At 37.3% G+C, this 22,517-nt stretch overlaps 1 long non-coding RNA gene across 1 annotated transcript; it reads right to left on the reverse strand.

The window, feature by feature from the left end:
• Positions 1-9,812: 9,812 nt before the first annotated feature.
• On the reverse strand, positions 9,813-21,995 carry LOC105373915 (uncharacterized). Its single transcript, XR_923963.2, has 3 exons — positions 20,351-21,995; positions 19,921-20,040; positions 9,813-9,845 (listed from the first exon to the last, which is right to left on the reverse strand). It is a non-coding gene; the product is annotated as an uncharacterized LOC105373915 (long non-coding RNA).
• Between the last annotated feature and the right edge of the window lie 522 nt (positions 21,996-22,517).

Consider the following 22,517-nt stretch of genomic DNA (forward strand, 5'->3'; position numbering starts at 1 on the left):
AGCAGGATACACAGGCTCCTATTCTGGACTTAGAAAGCCATCGTGGTTCCGAATCACATCCTACAGAGAATGGTAATAGCCACTCTAGCAAACCAAATTCTTGGAATATTAGAGATATGTGTTGGAAAGGTCAGAGTGCCTCCAATTGATCCCCATGTTGAACCATTCTTTGGCACAGTCATTTGTACCCCAGCCTGATTTGTCACTGACAGGAACACCAGAGTTCCTTCTGTAGTGGATATTTGTATGTGTTCGCTTGTTTTCAGGGCCAGCACGCACCTCCCCGTTTTTCCAATATTAACTCTAGAATTTTATCTGGGGATTTACCTTCCAGTATGTCTCACATTAGGTAGAGCGCTTCTTCCACTCAAAAGTGGAAAAGATGGTAAATGTTAACCATTAGCCTGGTGACTGTGATTGGTTCAGAGAATTGCACATTAGTCAATTAAAACAAAACAGAAACATGGACTTTGGCTGGGACTTCTAAGAAAGATACCCTTGTTCTATTTAGTTGGACTTGAAGCCATAAAGCATGGAATTGTGCCAGCCATTTTGATACTACAAGGAGAGAATATTCTATTAGAGTGAATCCAAGTGGAACCTGAGTACAGTGATTGAAAAGAAGAAAAGGGTCCCAATGCCCCCTTTGAGTATCTGGCTCAGACCTCACCTGAAGCCAGCCCCATACATTGTTCATTGTGTGAGTCAATAGATGGCACCTTTGCCTAAAAAAGCTTGGGTTCAGTTATGCATCTCGTGGAACCAAATGAATCCTAACAGATAAATCTACTCTCAAACAAATATCCTAGGAGGAAAAGAAAAAGCTGGCTGAATAAATTAACATAAAGAAATGGTAAATACAGTGCTCTTAGCTCTTAGCCTAATGTGGTATAAGAGTTGTCTTGTGAAGACTAAACTTTCTTACTTTCTTCCTTTTCTACTACATGGATTTCTGTAAATAAATGTATACGGCAGAAATAAACTAAAATAAGTTCTTTAGTAAACAAAATATAAAAATTAACTTGTAATCATAAGCTCTCTGTTGTTCCCATTTATTTAAGGCAGTGATAACATTACCATGAGTGAAAAATCATAAGATTTCCAAATGTACAATTAAACTCCTTATAATCTATATTTTACAGATTAAGCACAATTTAATTTTATTATACCAAAAAAATGGAGGCTGGAGTACACACTCATGGCTATCTTGCCCTATTAGTAAAATCTGACCTCTATAGGGAAGGCTGTGAGAACAGAAGAAAAAATGGAAGAGAAGTCAGTGGTATTTTCCAAAATGTTGGAAGCAGAATTTTATAGTGGTGACTATAATTATTCTATGACATGTGTTAAGACATCTGGGTCATTTCTTCTTAGTAAAACAATGTTAGCAATTAAGCTGAGTCTATTTCACATAAGACATTAAGTCATGTAAAACACATAAGTAACAACAATAAATCAGTGTCAGGGTTTCTGACAGTGCATAATGTAATACCAGGCATAGAGTAGCATTCTATCTTGAACCACTTTAACCACTTGCACCCCTAAAGGAAATGCCAGTCACGTGTCCCAAATCAGAAGTTTCCACAACACCAGAGACTTTCAGCATGTCATTGCTCTTTGGAGACTATGTGCAAAAACGCATCAGTACATGGACTCATTTTAACATGAATCCTTTTTTAGAGGAAGCTAAGTGCTCTGTATCAAATCAGGAATGAGAGTTGCAGCCAATGAAGATGGAAAAAAAAAAAAGATAGCTTATCCCTTACTGCTGGCAAAGCCAATTAGGCCTATCTTTGTTTCATGACAGCTATATAAAGAATTGGGGAGTTGAGAGAGTGGGCATTTGATATGGATGTGCAAACTAATTCTTTCTGTTGGCTCACATAAACAACATTTAGTAGAATATCCGGTAGATGTTTTTTGGCCTCATTTCCCCAAACCATGTAAGGCAATGCAATCTAATCCATGCAGTGGTTTTCTGTCTTGTATCCAAAAAAAATACAAGAGCTTCTTCAGACAGAGAATTTAAGATGAGTTGAGGACTCAATTCTGATTCATTGGATTATTCCACTTGAAACTAAAATTAAGCTCACATTCACATGATGTGCTTGATGACTTTGACTTTCTCAATTTCTGTCATGAACTAGTGATACAGTAATTGTACAATATGCAAATTCAGCACCAACAGAAATTTTGCATTGTAATTTAATTTATTTGAGTTCATTTAGTCCTTTATAATTTCTTTATCCATCAATCTTTTCTAATAGATTGTGAACTCCTGGAAAGCAAAAGCTTCATTTGTGTCTACTTTGTCAGCTCTCTACTCATAGTGGAATCTCAACTGTTTGTGAAATAAATTTAGTATTGGTTTCTACAAAGAAGTATATTAAGCATTTCAGTTAATATCTTATTAAAGAAGTCCCACAAATAAGGTTAAATAGGATTCTTCTGGGCAGCATTCATTCTTATCTCACAAACATACATTTTTAGACGTTCTCTTAAGCACAAGACCTATAGCAATAATATCTAGCGTGCCCTGACTGCTCACTCTGAGTCAGGCCAAACACTAGGCACTCTGATTCCATTATTCCTTCTCTCTTTGCAACTACCTTATACAGTATGACTGTACTATCTAAATGTCACAAATAAGGTAGCTAATGCTTAATGTTTAAAGAACTTTATGTACCCAAGGTCGTACAATCTGACACCTGGATTTCTTGTTGTTAACTATCGCCCTATGCTCCAAAGCCAATATGTTTTGCATGTTGATAACTATGAGAACCAGTAGAAAAATGCCAAGTCTATAGGAGCAATAAGGAAGTAATTACCTTTACTATAAACTTTAATTTTTCTTGCTTTTTGTTTCTTAGTTTCAGAAATGAGATCAACCACATAAATTCATTTAAACCCAAGGGCATATATGGGGATGACTGTATGAGATCTTAAATCCAAAAACTGTTTGGCTCATAAAGGTTGGCATAAGCCAGCACCACTGGAAAGCACAGTCTGCTGCATGCTCAGAGAAAACAGGTGTGCAGAATGGGGTATGAATCATGCAACTGGCTTCGATTGGTGGGTTCACAAAGTTATTTGAGCATGGGACATAGGCCATTCCCTATTATGTCAGCCACTTCTCCTACATGTTTCAAGAGATGAAAAAATGACACAGGTCAAAAAAATTACAAGCATTTTCTATGACAATTGAAGATGCTTGTCTGGACAGCTGTTACCCTGAATCAGCAAATAGTTTAAAGTGACTAATGTTCATTCTGACACAAAATGTTATTTACTTGATCTTTTCATATAAATGTTACAATAACTTTTTTCACTTTAAAGGATTTTTGTAATGTAAAATAGGAAAAGTTATCTAAATTAGCACTAGAAAAAAAAACTTTTATATAAGGTTAAATCCATTTATTTTACCAATAGCCTATATTGAGTTCAAGAGCTAGCAAATAGGGTGTGAGATCAATTAGGGGAATACCAAGAGGGCTGCACTGTTAAAATATTCTAGAAATCTCAATCTATTTTCTTAAGGCCTCTTTAATAGATCCAAGGAGAAATATATGGACATGTGAAACTAACTACTTGTCAGAACAGGGAGAAAGTTAAGGACAGTTTTCAAAAAACCAATAGTAGAAGGTACTTTATCCAACCTAAATCCTTACCTAATGGAGAAAAAACAATCCTCTTCTCCAATCATTTCTAGCTTTCCAAAGATTTTTTTCTGCCAAAGTCCCCCATCAAAAGTAAGAGAATAACAATCTTAGAAACTGTTAGTTCTGAGATTTGAGGGAGTGGGTGGTACAGTTGGAAAAAAACTGATTTGTTTTTTTCTTTGGGGTAGGGAAGAAAGGAGTTTGGGTAGATATTTGACCTATATCTACCTATTTGACAAATCTAAAATTAGACCCTCCATTTTCACCCCTTTCTTATCCCAATCTTTCATCATTTCTGCAGTCTTTAAGACCTGAATCCCTTGTTGGCTGCATCTTTCTCTCAGAGTGCTCAAGTCTATGGTTATTCTGCTATTCTATATTCTATATTTCACATCCAAAAATAATTTTTGAAATACATTGTTTGGTTAAGTTTGCCCCCAACTACATTTTCTTCTAGGATCATACTTGGTCTTTATTCTGTTACTGTTATTTTGACTCCATCTCTGGATGCAAAAGAAATAAACCTGTGTGTGCAGTTCACCGTTTTCAATAGGAAGACTATTTATACTTAATAATTGAGAATTCACTTAACCATTCATTCTGTATTCAAAAACCACTTATTGAATATATTCTAACAGCCAGTGTCCTAAAAGTCTAATAAGTATATTATGTATTAACTTACTATTTTTTAAAATCATATGTCTTCTATGTACCAGGCATTGTAAAGAACTTCATGACTTAGTGTCTCAGGATACCAAAGGAGATAGCTAAGAGGAGATCTAAATTTTCTGTTCTCAAAAAGGTAAAGATGAAGAAGAAACATTTGTCTCTCTCAGGGGCCTGAGTGAAATGGCTTCTGGAATGCTCAAGAATTCTGAGAAGTGCAACCTACATGGAGACTAAATAATCTGAATTGCCAGTTTCAATAGTGAGGTGAAGCTTACTAATCATGCCCTTTCTCAAATCTCTTCTTCCTCATGGTAAGAGAGTTTCTTCCTTTAGTTTTGGCTGGAATCATGAGCAACCTGCTAGAAACTGCATTTTCAGCTTCCTTTGCAAAGAAATATGAGTAGAAATAACTTCTGCATAACTTCCAAGTTGTTTATATACAATAAAATTCATTCTCTGAGACCTCCTCCCTTTTCCTTCATCATGAGCCGTAAATAAAGAAAAATCAATGTCCCACTTTGATCATGCAGAGTTAGTCAGTGACCTAATGGGTAGAAGAAGAAAATGTCAGTGGAAGCCAAGTCTCTTAATGGCCCCAGGGAGCAGAGCTTCCTCACCCAGCTAGACCAAGCAGATGGTTTCATGAGGAATCAAAGACGACTTTCTTATTCAGACCACTATATGTTGGGGTCTCTTTGTGAAAACATCCTAAAAGTTGCTCTAAATAATACAATAGCCTTATTTTGCCAAATAATCGTAAGTTTCTCTATCAGTTTCCATATATCTATTAAAATTACGTTTTAAATAGTGTAAACCATAGTTTCCAAATATTCAAATTGTATTTAAATAAAATTTCAGGTGCTACGTTGCTAAATAAAAATTCAGTAAGCGAATTCACATAATAGCAATTACTCTAATCTTGGACAAAGCGAAGGAACAATGGTTAAATCATACAATGGCTCCTGAAGGACCTACTCAGATATCACACACAGTTACTTCTACGCACATTCCATTTGTTTAAGTCAGTGATGAAGCCTGACTCAATGGGGTTGGAATATATAACCCCCGGCTTCACCAGAAAGACACTGTGGCTCTTATAACAATGGGTAGGAATATACAATCCTCTTACAAAGAAAACAACAAATAACTGGGCGCAATAACACAGTCTCTACCACAACCAAATGAAACAAACTCTAAATAAGTTTCAGCTACAAGGCAAATAATTTAAATGGGCTTCAATTTCATTCATATGTCTTCATCTCCTTTGTGCCAATGGGATCTCATAACTAGAAGAGAATGTATTATATTTAGATATACTTTTAATTACATTTTAATGATAATGTTCTGGCCTTGTTACCTTCTATAAATAGAACCTATGGTCAGATATTAAAGCATTCATGCCTTAGTTTCTGATATTCTCACTCCTTTACCTCTGCAATAAAAACTTAACTTGCGACAGAAAGGATCTCTACCATTTTAGATCAAATTTATCTTTAGCTATGGTAAAGGCAACCTTGATCAATTCATAAATTCCATATATTAGAATTCAAAACAATAACTTCTATCATAAAATGACAAATAAGTATAAGGACTTATAAAGTATTCCCACACCATCATAACAAACTTCGTTCTTTATCCACTTAATTTTTACTAAAGTGAAATTAACATACCCTTTAGTCAGAAATTTTTTATCCTTGAAAGGCAAAAAAAAAAAAAAAACTACCTTTATTCTATTTTTAGTAAAGATTTGGTACATGACTATATAAACTATATATTACCGTCTTTCCTTTTTCAGCATTAACTACAACAGCAAAATAGTATCAAGTTGATCAGGTTAAGTTTTATAAAATTACATATCTGTTTGAATTGATTATGCATAAACAACTCCAAATAACTCTACTTAAAATGTAGAAGGATAAAAAGAAGCCCTATATTACTAAATGTGAGGCTTGAATCTTAAAATATTACTCAAATTTATTGCTTTAGGAAGCACCTAAATAGAGGAGTTCTATTTTTGGTTAGGACATGGCAAGCTGCAAGAGACTATTGCTTTTACCCTAACAGCCAAAACCAAGCCATATCAATTATAAAATTATAGTATTCTGAACCTACTGCTGATCTGAGGATGCAAAGAGAACTAAATTCCAGAAAGTGATTAGTATTTTATAAGAGAACTATAGCTGTTCTCAAACCTGATAGGCAGGCAATAAATCAATCCATCATTTATGTGGATAAGGAGAAATCCATTAACATTTTAAGAAACTATGACAAGTGTATGTGAGTTAGCAAGGCATGTTAGAATCCCAAGGAACCTTGGCCACAGGGCAAGTTCACAGACACATGTCAAGCTTTTGTTTGTTTTTACAATTCTCTGTCATTAAGTACTCAGGAACTCAAAGGCTAGGGGCAAGACAGAAGAGCTAAGAGAAATCTCCCCCTCCTCCCCCATACCTCTGAGTGAAAAGATATCTCCCTAGGTGCAGTTTGGAAGTCTGGCAGCAGATTGGTAGGTAAAGCACGAAGAGGAATCTTACGTATTCAGCTCTGCAGAAAGGAAATTTCTGATACTGTGTTCAAAATATTTGAAGTGAGTAGTAAGTTATATTAAACTAAAGCTGCAGTCAAGCCCAGATAAACTTGGCTACAATGAGATTTACACAGACCCCAAATCTATCAATTTATACATGAAGGGGTATGATAATTTCTAGGAAAAGATATAATTTACTTTACACTTCACTGTTATGATATGCAAAATGTTTGCTATAAAATAAAAACATTATAAAGCAAAAAATAACCAATTAAAATATGACCCATGATGAAGAAAAGACACAGCAAAATAGGCTGAAATATGGCCTAGATGTCACAAATCACACTTTAAAATAATTATAATAAAAACTATAAAAGATCTAATAAGAAAGGTATACCACAAGTATGAACAGCTGGGGAATTTGAGCAGATGCATGGAAATTTATATTTGAGCATATGCATGGAAACTATGAAAAAAGAATTAAATTGAAATGTTAGATGTGAAAACAATATATTAAAAAATGAAGGATTCAATTGGCTAACAGCAAACTGGATTCACCAGAGGAAAAAAATCAGTGAAACTGAAACCAGGTCATTAGAAAGTATACCAATTGAAACACAAAGAAAAAGATAAGAAGAAAGAGGAGGAGAAAAGAGAAGGAGAAGAAGGAGAAAAGAAGGCAGAGGGGAGGAGAGAACAAAGGGGAGGGGAGGAAAAAGAAAGTGAGAAAGAGAGAAGTATAAAAATGAGGAGGAGAATGAGAACAAAGACGGAAAGAAAGAAACTGAAGGAGGAGGGGAAGAGGAAGAAGAGTGTTCAAGATTTATGGTACAATATTAAATGATCTCAGATTACTGTAGTAATTACAGTCCCAGAGGAGGGAAGAGAGAGATTAAACAGAAAAATATTTGGAAACATAATGTCTGAGATCTTTCCAAAACTTATAAAAAATAATTCAACACCCAATAAGCTCCATGAACCCTAAGCAGAATAAACACAAAGCAAACCAAACCTGGACACATTGTAGTTAAACTCCTGAAAACTGAAGATTGCAAAAATGAATCTTAAAAGAAACCAGGAAAATATATATATATATATACTACATAGAGAAACAATAATATAATGAATGACTGACTTATCACCAGAAACAATGGAAAGAAAATGACAATGGAATAACACCGATAGGATGCCAAAGAAAAATGATAGTAAACCTAGAATTCTATATCCAGTAAAAATATTAAATTAAAATGAAGCGAAGATGTTTTCAAACAGATAGAAACAGATAATTCATTTCCAGCAGATATTTACTACAAATGATAAAATAAACTCTTTAATCTAAAAGAAAATGATACCAGAACTCAGAATGTACAAGAAAAGAAGAGCATAAAGAAGAATAAAGCTGGGTAAAAATAAACTAGTAACTTTTGCCATTATTATATATATATGTATGTGTATATATGTATATGATAATAACTATATATGTATGTGTATATATACACATACTTATATGTGTATATATACATATATGTGTATATATACACATACTTATATGTGTATATATACACATATATGTATATACATATACTTATGTATGTATACATGTACATATGCATATATGTATATGCACATGTGTATATGTATACATGTGCATATGTGTATATGTACGTGTGTATATGTATGCATATACATATGTGTATATGTACATGTGTATATGTACATGTATACATATACATAGATGTGTATACATACACATATGTGTATATATATATAATTTTTAATTTAAAATACTATTGACAGGGGGAGATCTGGCAAGACGGTCGAATAGGAACAGCTCCAGTCTGCAGCTCCCAGTGAGACCAATGCAGAAAGCGAGTGATTTCTGCATTTCCAACTGAGTTACCCGGCTCATCTCGTTGGGACTGGTTAGCCAGTGGGTGCAGCCTGTGGAGGGTGAGCAGAAGCAGGGTGTGGCATTGCCTCACCTAAGAAACATAACGGGTCTGGGAACTCCCTCCCCTAGCCAAGGGAAGCTGTGAGAGACTGTGCCATGAGGGACAGTGCTATCCGGTCCAGATACTATGCTTTTCCCATGGTATTTGCAACCCACAGACCAGGAGATTCCCTCTGGTGCCTACACCACCAGGGCCCCGGGTTTCAAGCACAAAACTAGGAGGCCATTTGGGGCAGACACTGAGCTAGCTGCAGGAGTTGTTTTTTTTTTTTTCTTTTTTTTTGTACCCCAATGGCACCTGGGACACCAGCAAGACAAAACTGTTCACTCCTCTGGAAAGGGGTCTAAAGCCAGGGAGCCAGGTAGTCTTGCTCAGCAGATCCTGCCCCCATGGAGCCCAGCAAGCTAAGATCCACTGGCTTGAAATTCTCGCTGCCAGCACAGCAGTCTGTAGTCAACCTGGGACACTTGAGCTTGGTGCGAGGAGGGGCATCTGCCATTAAGGCTTGAGTAGGTGATTTTTCCCCTCACAGTGTAAACAAAGCCACTGGGTTGTTCGAACTGGGTGGAACCCACCACAGTGCAGCAAAGCCACTGTAGCCAGACTGCCTCTCTAGATTCCTCCTCTCTGGGCAAGGCATCTCTAAAAGAAAGGCAGAAGCCCCAGTCAGGGGCTTACAGATAAAAGTCCCATCTCCCTGGCACAGAGCACCTGGGGGAAGGGGCAGCTGTGGATGCAGCTTCAGCAGACTTAAACGTTCCTGCCTGCCAGCTCTGAAGAGACCAGCAGATCTCCATGCACAGCATTCCAGCTCTGCTAAGGGACAGACTGCCTCCTCAAGTGGGTTACTGACCCCCATGCCTCCTGACAGGGAGATACCTCATACAGGAGAGCTCTGGCTGGCATCTGGTGGGTGCCCCTCTGGGACAAAGCTTCCAAAGGAAGGAGCAGGCAGCAATCTTTGCTGTTCTGCAGCCTCCACTGGTGATACCCAAGCAAACAGGATCTGGAGTGGACCTCCAGCAAACTCCAGCAGACCTGCAGAAGAGGAGCATGACTATTAGAAGGAAAACTAACAAACAGAAAGCAATAACATCAACATCGGCAAAAAGGAAGCCACGCAAAAACCACATCCAAAGGTCATCAGCATCAAAGATCAAAGGTAGATAAATCAATGAAAATGAGGAAAAAGCCAGTGCAAAAAGGCTGAAAACTCCCAAAACCAGAATGCCTCTTCTCCTCCAAAGGATCACAACTCCTCACCAGCAAGGGAACAAAACTGGATGGAGAATGAGTTTGATGAATTTGCAGAAGTAGGCTTCAGACGGTGGATAATAACAAACTCCTCCGAGCTAAAGGAACATGTTCTAACCCAATGCAAACAAGATAAGAACCTTGATAAAAAGTAACAGGAACTGCTAACTAAAATAATCAGTTTGGAGAAGAACATAAATGACCTGATGGAACTGAAAAACATAGCATGAGAACTTCATGAAGCATATACAAGTATCAATAGCTGAATTGATCAAGTGGAAGAAAGGGTATCAGAGTTTGAAGATCAATTTAATGAAATAATGTGTGAAGACAAGATTAAAGAAAAAAGACTGAAAAGGAATGAACAAAGCTTTGAAGACATATGGGACTATGTGAAAAGACCAAATCTACATTAGATTGGTGTACCTGAAAGTGACAGGGAGTTGATAATGGAACCAAGTTGGAAAACACCCTTCAGGATATTATCCAGGAGAACTTCCCCAACCTAGCAAGGCAGGCCAACATTCAAATTCAGGAAATACAGAGAACACCACTAAGATACACCTCGAGAAGAGCAATCCCAAGACACATAATCTCAGATTCACCAAGGTTGAAATGAAGAAAAAAATGTTCAGGGCAGCCAGAGAGAAAGGTCGGGTTACCCACAAAGGGAAGCCCATCAGACTAACAGCAGATCTCTCTGCAGAAACCCTACAAGCCAGTTGAGAGTGGGGGCAAATATTCTACATTCTTAAAGAAAAGAATTTTCAACCCAGAATTTCATATCCAGCCAAACTAAGCTTCATAAACAAAGGAGAAATAAAATCCTTTACAGACAAACAAATGCTGAGGGATTTTGTCACCACCAGGCCTGCCTTACAAAAGCTCCTGAATGAAGCACAAATTATGGAAAGGAAAACCAGTACCAGCCACTTCAAAAACATACCAAAATATAAAGACCATGGACACTATGAAGAAACTGCATCAACTAATGTGCAAAATAACCAGCTAACATCATAATGACAGGATCAAGTTCACACATAACAATATTAACCTTAAATATAAATGGGCTAAATGTCCCAATAAAAAGACACAGACAGGCAAATTAGATAGAGTCAAGACCCATCAGTGTGCTGTATTCAAGAGACCCATCTCATTTGCAAAGACACACATAGGCTCAAAATAAAGGGATGGTGAAATATTTACCAAGAAAATGGAAAACAAAAAAAAAGCTGGGGTTGCAATCCTAGTCTCAGATAAAACAGATTTTTAAATCAACAAAGATCAAAAGAGACAAAGAAGGGCATTACGTAATGGTAAAGGGATCAATGCAACAAGAAGAGCTAACTATCTTAAGTAAATATGCACCCAATACAGGAGCACCCAGATTCATAAAGCAAGTTCTTAGAGACCTACAAAGAGACTTAGACTCCCACACAATCATAGTGGGATAATTTAACACCCCACTGTCAATATTAGACAGATCAATGAGACAGAAAATTAACAAGGATATTCAGGACTTGAGCTCAGCTCTGGACCAGACTTTATAGACATCTACAGAACTCTTCACCCCAAATCAACAAAATATGCATTCTTCTCGACACCCCATGGCACTTATTCTGAAATTGACCACATAATGGGAAGGAAAAAACTCCTCAGAAAATACACAAGAATGGAAATCATAACAAACACTCTCTCAGACTAGAGTGCAGTCAAATTAGAACTCAGGATTAAGAAACTCACTCAAAACCGCACAACTGCATGGAAACTGAACAACCTGCTCCTGAATGACTACTGGGTAAATAACAAAATAAGGCAGAAATAAATAAATTATTTGAAACCAATGAGAACAAAGACACAACATACCAGAATCTCTGGGACACAGCTAAAGCAGTGTTTAGAGGGAAACTTATAGCACTAAATGCCCACAAAAGAAAGCAGGAAAGATATAAAATTAACACCCTGACATCACAATGAAAAGAACGAGAGAAGCAAGAGCAAACAAATTCAGAAGCTGGCAGAAGACAAGAAATAACTAAGATCAGAGCAGAACTGTAGGAGACAGAGACAAGAAAAATCGTTAAAAAAAAAATCAATGAATCCAGGAGCTGGATTTTTGAAAAAATTAACAAAATAGATAAACCACTAGCCAGATTAATAAAGAAGAAAAGAGAGAAGAATCAAATAGACACAATAAAAAGTGATTTAAAAAAAGCCCAGGATCAGATGGATTCACAGCTGAATTCTACCAGAGGTACAAAGAGGAGCTAGTACCATTCCTTCTGTAATTATTCCAAACAATAGAAAAAGATGGACTCCTTCCTAACTCATTTTATGATGCCAGCATCATCCTGTTACCAAAACCTGGCAGAGACACAACAAAAAAAGAAAATTTCAGGCCAATATCCCTGATGAACATTGGTGTGAAAGTCCTCAATAAAATACTGGCAAACCGAATCCAGCAGCACCTCAAAAAGTTCATCCACCATGATCAAGTCAGCCTCATCCCTGGGATGCAAGGCTGGTTCAACATATGCAAATCAATAAATATAATCCATTGAATAAACAACCAATGACAAAAACCACATGATCATCTCAATAGATGCCGAAAAGGCCTTTGACAAAATTCAACACCCTCATGCTAAAAACTCTTAATAAACTAGGTTTTGATGGAATGTATCTCAAAATAATAAGAGCTATTTATGACAAGCCCACAGCCAATATCACACTGAATGGGCAAAAACTGGAAGTATTCCCTTTGAAAACTGGCACAAGACAAAGATGCCCTCTCTCACCATTCCTATTCAACATAGTATTGGAAATTCTGGCCAGAGCAATCAGGCAAGAGAAAGAAATAAAGGGTATTCAAATAGGAAGAGAGGAAGTCAAATTGTCTCTGTTTGCAATTGACATGATTGTATATTTGGAAAACCCCATCGTCTCAGCCCAAAAACTCTTTAAGCTGATAAGCAACTTCAGCAAAGTCTCAGGATACAAAATCACTGTGCAAAAATCACAAGCATTCCTATACATCAATAATAGACAGAGAGCCAAATCACTAGTGAACTCCCATTCACAATTGCTATAAAGAGAATAAAATACCTAGGAATACAACTTACAAGGGATGTGAAGGACCTCTTCAAGGAGAACCATAAACCACTGCTCAAGGAAATGAGAGAGGACACAAACAAATGGAAAAACATTCCATGCTGATGGATAGGAAGAATCAATATTGTAAAAATGGCTCTACTGCCCAAAGTAATTTATAGATTCCACGCTATCCCCATCAATCTACCATTTACTTTCTTCACATAATTAGAAAAACTACTTTAAATTTCATATGGAACCAAAAAAGGGCCACATAGCCAAGACAATTCTAAGCAAAAAGAACAAAGCTGGAGGCATCACACTACCTGACTTCAAAGTATACTACAAAGCTATAGTAACCAGACGGCATGGTACTGGTACCAAAACAGATATATAGACCAATGGAACAGAACAAAGACCTCAGAAATAACACCACACATCTACAACCATCTGATCTTTGACAAACCTGACAGAAACAAGCAACGGAGAAAGGATTCCCTAGTTAATAAATGGTGTTGGGAAAACTGGCTAGAAAACTTATAGCTGGACCCCTTCTTTACACCTTACTGGCTATATGCAGAAAACTTAAACTGGACCCCTTCTTTACACCTTATAAAAAAATTAACTCAAGATGGATTAAAGATTTAAACATGGCCAGGCATGGTGGTTCATGCCTGTAATCCCAGCACTTTGGGAGGCCAAGGTGGGTGGATCACCTGAGGTCAGGAGTTCATGACCAGCCTGGCCAACATGGTGAAACCCTGTCTCTACTAAAAATACAAAAATTAGCCAGACTTGGAGGTACACACCTGTAGTCCCAGCTACTTGGGAGGCTGAGGCAGGAGAATAGCTTGAACCCAAGAGGTGGAGGTTGCAGTGAGCCAAGATTGCACCACTGCACTGCAGCCTGGGTGATAGAGTGAGACTCTGTCTCAAAAAGAAAACAAACAACAAAAAAAGACTTAAATGTAAGACCTAAAACCATAAAAACCCTAGAAGAAAACTTAGTCAATACCATTCAGGACATAGGTATTGGCAAAGACTTCATGACTAAAACACCAAAAGCAATTGCAACAAAAGCCAAAATTGGCAAATGGGATCTAATTAAACTAAAGAGCTTCTGCACAGCAAAAGAAACTATCATCAGAGTGAACAGGCAACCTGCAGAATGGAAGAAAAATTTTGCAATCTATCCATCTGACAAAGGGTTAATATCCAGAATCTACAAGAAACTTAAACAAATTTACAAGATAAAAACAAAAAACCCAGCAAAAAGTGGATGAAGGATATGAACGAACACCTCTCAAAAGAAGACATTTATGTGGCCAACAAACATATGAAAAAAAGTTTATCATTACTGCTCATTAGAGAAATGCAAATCAAAACTGCAATGAGATATCATCTCACATCAGTTACAATGGCAATCATTAAAAAGTCAGGAAACAACAGATGCTGGCAAGGATGTGGAGAAATAGGAATGCTTTTACACTGTTGGTGGGAGTGTAAATTAGTTCAATCATTGTGGAAGACAGTGTGGCAATTCCTCAAGGATCTGGAACAAGAAATACCATTTGACCCAGCAATCCCATTACTGGCTATATACCCAAAGGATTATAAATCATTCTACTATAAAGACACTATGCCCATGTATGCTTATTGTAGCACTATTTATAATAGCAAAGACTTGGAACCAAGCCAAATGCCCATCAATGATAGACTGGATAAAGAAAATGTGGCACATATACACCATGGAATACTATGCAGACATAAAAAATTCATGTCCTTTGCAGGGACATGGATGAAGCTAGAAACCATCATTCTCAGTACACTAACACAGGAACAGAAAACAAAATACCACATGTTCTCACTCATAAGTGGGAGTTGAACAATGAGAACACATGGACACAGGGAGGGGAACATCACACACTGGGGCCTGTTGGGGGGTGGGGGTAAGGGGTGGGATAGCATTAGGAGAAATACCAAATGTAGATGACGGGTTGATAGGTGCAGCAAACCACCATGGCACATGTATACCTATGTAACAAACCTGCACATTCTGCACATGTATCCCAGAACTTAAAGTACAAAAAAAAAAAAAAGATAAAAACTTAAAAAACGGACCTCCTGTAATGCCAGCACTTTGAGAGGGCAAGCCAGGAGGATTGCCTGAGCCCAGGACTTGGAGACAGCCTGAGAAACATGGCAAGGTCTCGTCTCTACAAAAATTAAAAAAGAAAAAAAAATTAGCCAGGCATAAAAATAAATAAATAAAATACTATTGATTCTTTTAGTCACAGAAAATATCTGTGTATTAGAGGTATATTATATATATATACCGAAGAAAAATATAAAACAAAAATGATAGGAGAAGGAAATTTAAATAATTCTTTGTTAAAGTTGTTATAGTGTCCATTTTATTTGCAAGTAAACTGTGAAAACATAAAGATCCTGTATTAATCTGTTTTCACTCCACTGATAAAGACATAATCAAGACTGGGTAATTTATACAGAAAAAAGGGTTTAATGGACTTACAGTACCACATGGCTGAGGAGGCCTTTCAATCATGGTGGAAGGTGAAAAGCACGTCTCACATGGTGGCAAACAAGAGAATAGAGCTTGTGTAGGGAAACTTCTGTTTTTAAAACCATCAGATCTCATGAGACTTATTCACTATCATGAGAACATCATGGGAAAGAGCTGCCCAATGATTCAATTACCTCCCACCGGGTCCCTCCCTCAACACATGGGAATTCAAGAGGAGATTTGAGTAAGGACACAGCCAAACCCTATCAGAAACATATTGTAACAACTTGAATAACTATAAGAAAACAACTCAAAAAGTTACACATAAAATATATGATCTATTTTAAATAATACAAGAAAGGAGAACAGAGGGATAAAGACAAATGAGATGAATAAGTACAAATAAAATTTAAAGACCAAGATGGTAGATTAAACACAACCATATCAATAAATATATTAAACGGAACAGGACTAAACACTCTATCTAGTTAAAAGAAAAAGACTTGGCCAGGTGCAGTGACTCACGTCTGTAATCCCAGCACTTTGGGAGGCCAAGGCAGGCAGATCACGAGGTCAGGAGATCCAGACCATCCAGGCTAACATGGTGAAACCCCGACTCTACTAAAAATACAAAAAATTAACCGGGCATGGTGGCGGGCACCTGTAGTCCCAGCTGCTCGGGAGGCTGAGGCAGGAGAATGGCGTGAACCCGGGAGGTGGAGCTTGCAGTGAGCCAAGATGGCGCCACTGCACTCCAGCCTGGGCAACAGAGCAAGACTCCATTTCAAAAAAAAAAAAAAGAAAAGAAAAAGACTATCAGACAAAGGTGATAGAAGCAAGACCCACTGCATGCTCTTCAGAAAACAGACTTTAACTATAAAAGTAAGGCAAGATAAAATTAAAAGATAAAAAAAGTTATAATGAACAAACACTAAGCATAAGAAATCTGGTATGCTATATAAACATAAGAGAAAGTGGATTTAAAGCAAGCAGTATTATGGAGGTTAAAGTGTTATTTAATAACAATAAAATGATCAATTAATCAAGTAGACATAGTAATCCTAAATGGACAAGCACCCAACACAGTGCTTCAAAATACACAAGGCAAAAACTGATGAGAGTAAACAATAACTCTTGCTTCAGACCAAGAAGAAATAATAAAGACTAGGTTTACCCTCCCATGTAAGATAACATTTTTAACAAAATATGTAAAGCAATGATTTAAAAAACTGTAAAAATGCATTCAAGTTTCACGATCTCTGAAAGACAGGAAACACATGAGTTGAGTTCCAAAATTACCCCAAGCTTACTGCATCGGGTTGCAGCATAGGGAGGAGAAACACAAGCGGGTCCTGGTGGAGGCCAGTAGGCTTTCTGAGTTACAGAGAAAGAGCTGAGAATTCAGGGAGACGAGCACAAACTATAAGTCCTCTGGACAGAGGACTGGAAAAGAAGAGACTTGCCCAGAGAAAGATCCCGGGGGAAGTGGGAGTCCTCAAAGGTCTCCCACAAATATGCAGCTGACTACTGATAAGCACATGTTTATAGGGGAACTACCCAAGCTGGAAACAGAATCACCCAAAAGGATGAGAGAGAACAATTATTCACATTCACAGAGGGCTGGCAATAGAGCCCTTTCGCACCACATTGGAAAACCTCATGATTTATGGGGCATTGGAGAGAGAGTGTGAAAGCTCTTGCCTCAGTAATGGGGAATCATTAGGCCTTGACTGAGCACTGCTCCAGTTTCCCCTAAAGTAATCTTAAAAACAAGACCAAAAAGTACCAAATTCTTTCTAAGTAACTTAACTGCATCCCAGAAGAAAGCTCTAGAATATTCATAGGAATACAAAAGTAACCAGCACCCACAAAGTGAAATCACAATGTCTGATATCTGATTAATAATTACCAGACATTCAAAGAAGGATAAAAGTATGACCCATCATAAGGAAATAAATAAGCATTCACAACCAACAAAGAGCTGACACAGATATTAGAATTAGTAGAAAAAGACATTAAGACATTTATTATAAACGTGTTTCATGTATTGAAAAGTAGAGGCATAAAAGATATAAAAGAAGACTCCAAATCAAACTATTAGAAAAGAGACTACAATGTATGAGTTTAAAATACACTAAATGAAATTAACAGCAAATAAGCAATTGTAGACAAAAAGATTAGTGAACTTGAAGTCAGAGCAATAGAAAGTAACCAAAATAAAGCACATTAAAAAAAGAAGTTAAAAAAAAATGAACAGAACGTTATAGAGCTGTGGGAAAACAAAGTTAAAGTTTTATGTATATGCCTCATACATATGACCTTGGATTCAGCAAAGATGTTTTAGACACAAAAGCAAAAGCAAAATGTGTAAAAGCACAAATTGACAAATTGGAATTCAACACCAAACTTCTGCACTTCAGAAAACATTCTTGAAGAAAATAAAAAGGCAGATTACATACTAGGAAAATAAACTTGCAAATCATATATCTGAAAAAGGACTTGTATCAAGAGAACTCTCAAAATTCAGTAAGAAAATGAGCAACCCAATTATAAAAACAGGTAGAAGATTTGAACAAATATTTCACAAATAAGTATGTGAAAACATGTTCAACATCATTATTCTTTAAGGAAATCCAAAGTTAAAACCATAATAAGCTACCACCGCTCACTTATTGGAATGACTAAAATTTAAAAACTGACCATACCAAGTGTTGACAAGGATGTGGAGGAACTGGGACACTCCTACACTGCTGGTCGGGATGTAATAATGGTACATTGACTTTGGACAACAATTTGGCAGTTCCTTGAAAGGTTAAATATTCAATTAAAACATGATTCAGCCATTAGATTCCTAGGTATTTACCCAGGAGAAATTAAGGCCTATGTGTATGCAAAGATTTGTACATGAATATTCATAGCTGTTTAATTTATAATAGTTCAAATTTGAAAATAACCAAAATGTCATCAACAGGTGAATGGATAAACAAGCTGCAATATTTTTATACAATGGAATATTATTCAGTAATAAAAAGAAATGAATTATTAATACAAGCAACAGCATGGAAAAATTTCAAAATAATTATGCATAGATAACTTTTGTGCCAACCTAATACATACCTATGGTCCCCTTTATTTGACTTCCAAGAACAGATAAAATTACTATCTAGTCAGGAAGTAGTTGCCATTTGGACAAGAAAGGTGGGAATGGACAAGAAAGGAGCACAACTGACCTTTCTGAACTAATGGAATCTTGGTTTTGGTAGTGGTTATTTACATGAATACAAATGTCAAACTTCCTCGACCTGAACACTGAAGATCCATGCATTGTATTATATGTAAGTAATGCCTGAGTATTTTTAAAGATGAATCCCGAAAAAGTAAATTACTCTTTATACCACCCTTCATGTAATTTTCTTAGTTTTTACACATTGCTATTGAAGATTGAGCATATTTTCCATATTCATAAAAACAAGCTCCAGACATAATTAAGATGTATCAGATACTACAGAGAAAAAATAGAAACTTTTCTTTCCCAAAAAACTCTCAAATGCAATTCCAGGAAAAGCAGAGAAAAAAACCCAAAGTGATTTTCTAGACCAAAAACCATCTCCAAGCTTAGTTAAACCCCATGTTTTCTTCATGCTCAGATAATTTACCTAATTTCAGTTCATCTAAGAATATTATGCATTAATATTTATTTGCATGGTCATTTGAAAATCAATGTTCAAAACCTGTATTCTCAGGTTTTATCAATAGTCCCAGCCCTGCCAATTTAAATCACCTTCTTAAGATCGTTTCTGTGTGTTTGTTGTTGTTGTTGTTATAAAACAAGCCTGAAAGTAAAGGCAAGAGTTTTAAATTATGAAAATGAAAGTCCGGTTTTACTTACCAACTCGGGGCTATCATCTAACACAACTTAGAATCTTCAGAGAACCATGCCCTCCAGCAGAGGAGAGCACACTCCTAGCCAGAAGCCACCTCACTTCAGGCTGCTGAACCCACACAAGATACACCTGACCTCACTTCTCTTTCCCACCATCAGAGCTACACTGCCAATGAGTAAAACCTGGACATTTATCAATTCATTTCAACGAATGATAGTGTGGGCTAAAAGATATACAATTAGGAGGGACAAAAAGAGGAAAGGAAGGATTTAAAGAAAAAAGAAAGCAAGCACTGGGGACAGGTGAGCAGACCCAATACCTATGCACTGCTGTTATTCAAGTTTCTAAAAGGTAGAAAACCCACCTGCCACACAGGATTCTTCACTGGACTTTTTAGATTAAAGAGCACATGGCAAAAACTGTGGCACTTGCTTGTGTTTCTTCACTGGAAGGATTTTGTGATATTCTTTGACACTTGAGGACCCTACTTTAATGAATTTAAAAGTTAGAAGAACTAATTTCCATTTGGACGCAAGTGTGTGCACGTGTGGTGATTCTCTGCATTTTCTTTCCTGCACTGGTTCCTTCAAGGGAGAGTAAAGCCACACAATTTTAAGCAGGCCAAAGCATTCTTCTTTTATGGCTGAAATAATTAAAACATGTGTACAGCCTACATATCTGTGGGCTTGGGATTGAAGAAGTTTGTCCCTTATGTCTCAGTGAAGCCTACAGGCCATTCTCTTTCCCAGAAACCATGATGTGGACAGCACTTTCTAGGGTATGCAGGATATAACCTGTATAATCTTCCACGGAGACCAGGAGCTCCTTCTTCCTTCATTAAAGCTTCCAAATTTGAATCTCAGGTTGTCAGACTATCCCACCTGTCTCCCCTCCCTGTTGCAGCCATCTCTCATTTCTCAATGGCTCTAACTCCTGGGCCAACAATTATTCCTTCTTTGGTGTTTCCTATGTCCAAATAGATGATTCTTCCAATATTCTGGTTTCTTAGATCCTTGAACCCATTTATCCTAATGACCAAGTTCTTCAACCTATCTCAGCCATTTCCTCACCATGCTCATACAACAGACCAGTGGTTCTCAAAGTTCCATTTTGCTATCACTGAAGAAATTACTAAAAATTAAAACTCTCATCCTCACCTCAGCCCTGCTGAACCAGGAAATCTGGGATATGGCCCAGCAATCTCTGTTAAATAAGCCTTCTATGTGATTATGGTACCCAAGTTTGACCTTGTTATTACCAAAAAATGCAACACCTCTATAATCTCAATTACAAGACTTCCACACTTTGACCTCAATTTGATTATAGTACCCTAACTCTAACAACCCTTACCCTACCCATAAATATGCCTTGAACTCACTTTCTCCTTAATATTACTCAACTTTATATTATTTTCATTTTACTCATTTGGCAAAAATTCAACCCTTCCTTGTTAAGACAAAACTTCATCCCATTTCTGGCCTATATGCAGTCCTTACAGTGACCTGCAATGCCCTACATGGTCTGACCTGCTTTCCATTGTCACCAACTGATATGAAAAAAGCTAACTATGTATGACTAAAGAAGGTCTAGTATCACTTTAAATGTATGGACATGCCCTCATGGGCCCTTCCTGCTGCCAGGCAATCATCCTATGTTATTGAGAAATAACAACTATCAGTTCAGAACTTCTACCCTCACTTCCACCCACCTACCTGCACATGCACTCTTACATTCTGCCTTCCCACCTGTTCCTCCGGATTGTGTGTACTTCTATCTAGGTCAACCTCTTCTACTTCTATGCCAGATTTCATGCCCTCTTACCTACTCAGGAATGTTGTCCTAGCACCTATCCACTCTCTTCTGCTTCCTCATTCTGCTCACACTCTGCCAGATCCTTCTGACTACATAAAGCATGCTGTTATTCCTCCCATCCTAAAAAAAATCTTCCCCTTCCAGTTACTGCCCTGTTTCTACTATTTATAGCACACTTCCTCCAAAGAGTTATTATCTGTGTTTGTCTTTTATAATTTGTCCTCTCTCATTTTCTCTTAAACCCACTCATTAGACTTTCACTCCCACTGCTCCATCAAAATGTTCCTGAAAAGGTCATCACTGACACTCCTGCTGGTTATCCAAGGTGCGATCTTCAGTGTTGCACTTGCTTGGCCTGTCTAACATACTTGACACAACTCTTTCTTCCCTGCCAGCACTTCCTGCCCTTAGCTCTCCCAGTATTCCTCCCACTTCACTGTGACCCTTCCTTCTCTGTCTCCATTCTCGTCTCCATAGCAACTGTACACTGGAATTCCCCAGTTCTCAGTCTTTGTTTCCATTTTATTTCATTCTTTATTCACTTCTTTGGTGATTTCATTAGAGGCTTTAAGTACCCTTTATCCTGATGACATCAGTATTTATAGTTGTGGCCCCAGCTGCTTCACAAACTCCCCACAGGTATAGTCAACCACATACTCAACATCTCCACTAACAAACATTGAAAACTCAGTAAGACCAAAATTGAATTACTCTTCTTCCTCAACAAATGTGCTCTACAGCTTCTCGCCTCTGTTCGGAGTAGCCTTACACTTCTAGCTGCTAAGGTTAAAAACTTTCAAATCATTCTTGACCTGTTTTTTATCTCTCAAATCTCCCATCTAAATCCATCAGCAATCCTGTTGACTCAAATCTGATACCACAAAGCCCAAACCATATCGTCTCTCTCCTGGATTATTGAGACAGCTTCCCAACATTATCACTTCCCTTTTAGTCTATTATTAACTGGCCAGAGTAATCCTCTAAAAACATACATCAGATTATGGCATTCCTTTGCTCAGAAGTCTCAGTGCCTTCCCACCTTATCTAGTCAAAATTCCAAAGTCTTTGAACTGACCTGCAATTCCCTAAATGATCTGACGTGCTTCCCATTATGTCACCAACTAATTGCCTACAATTATCGCCTTCGAT

The sequence above is a fragment of the Homo sapiens genome, chromosome 2 (assembly GCF_000001405.40).
Source record: "Homo sapiens chromosome 2, GRCh38.p14 Primary Assembly".
Classification (NCBI taxonomy): domain Eukaryota; kingdom Metazoa; phylum Chordata; class Mammalia; order Primates; family Hominidae; genus Homo; species Homo sapiens.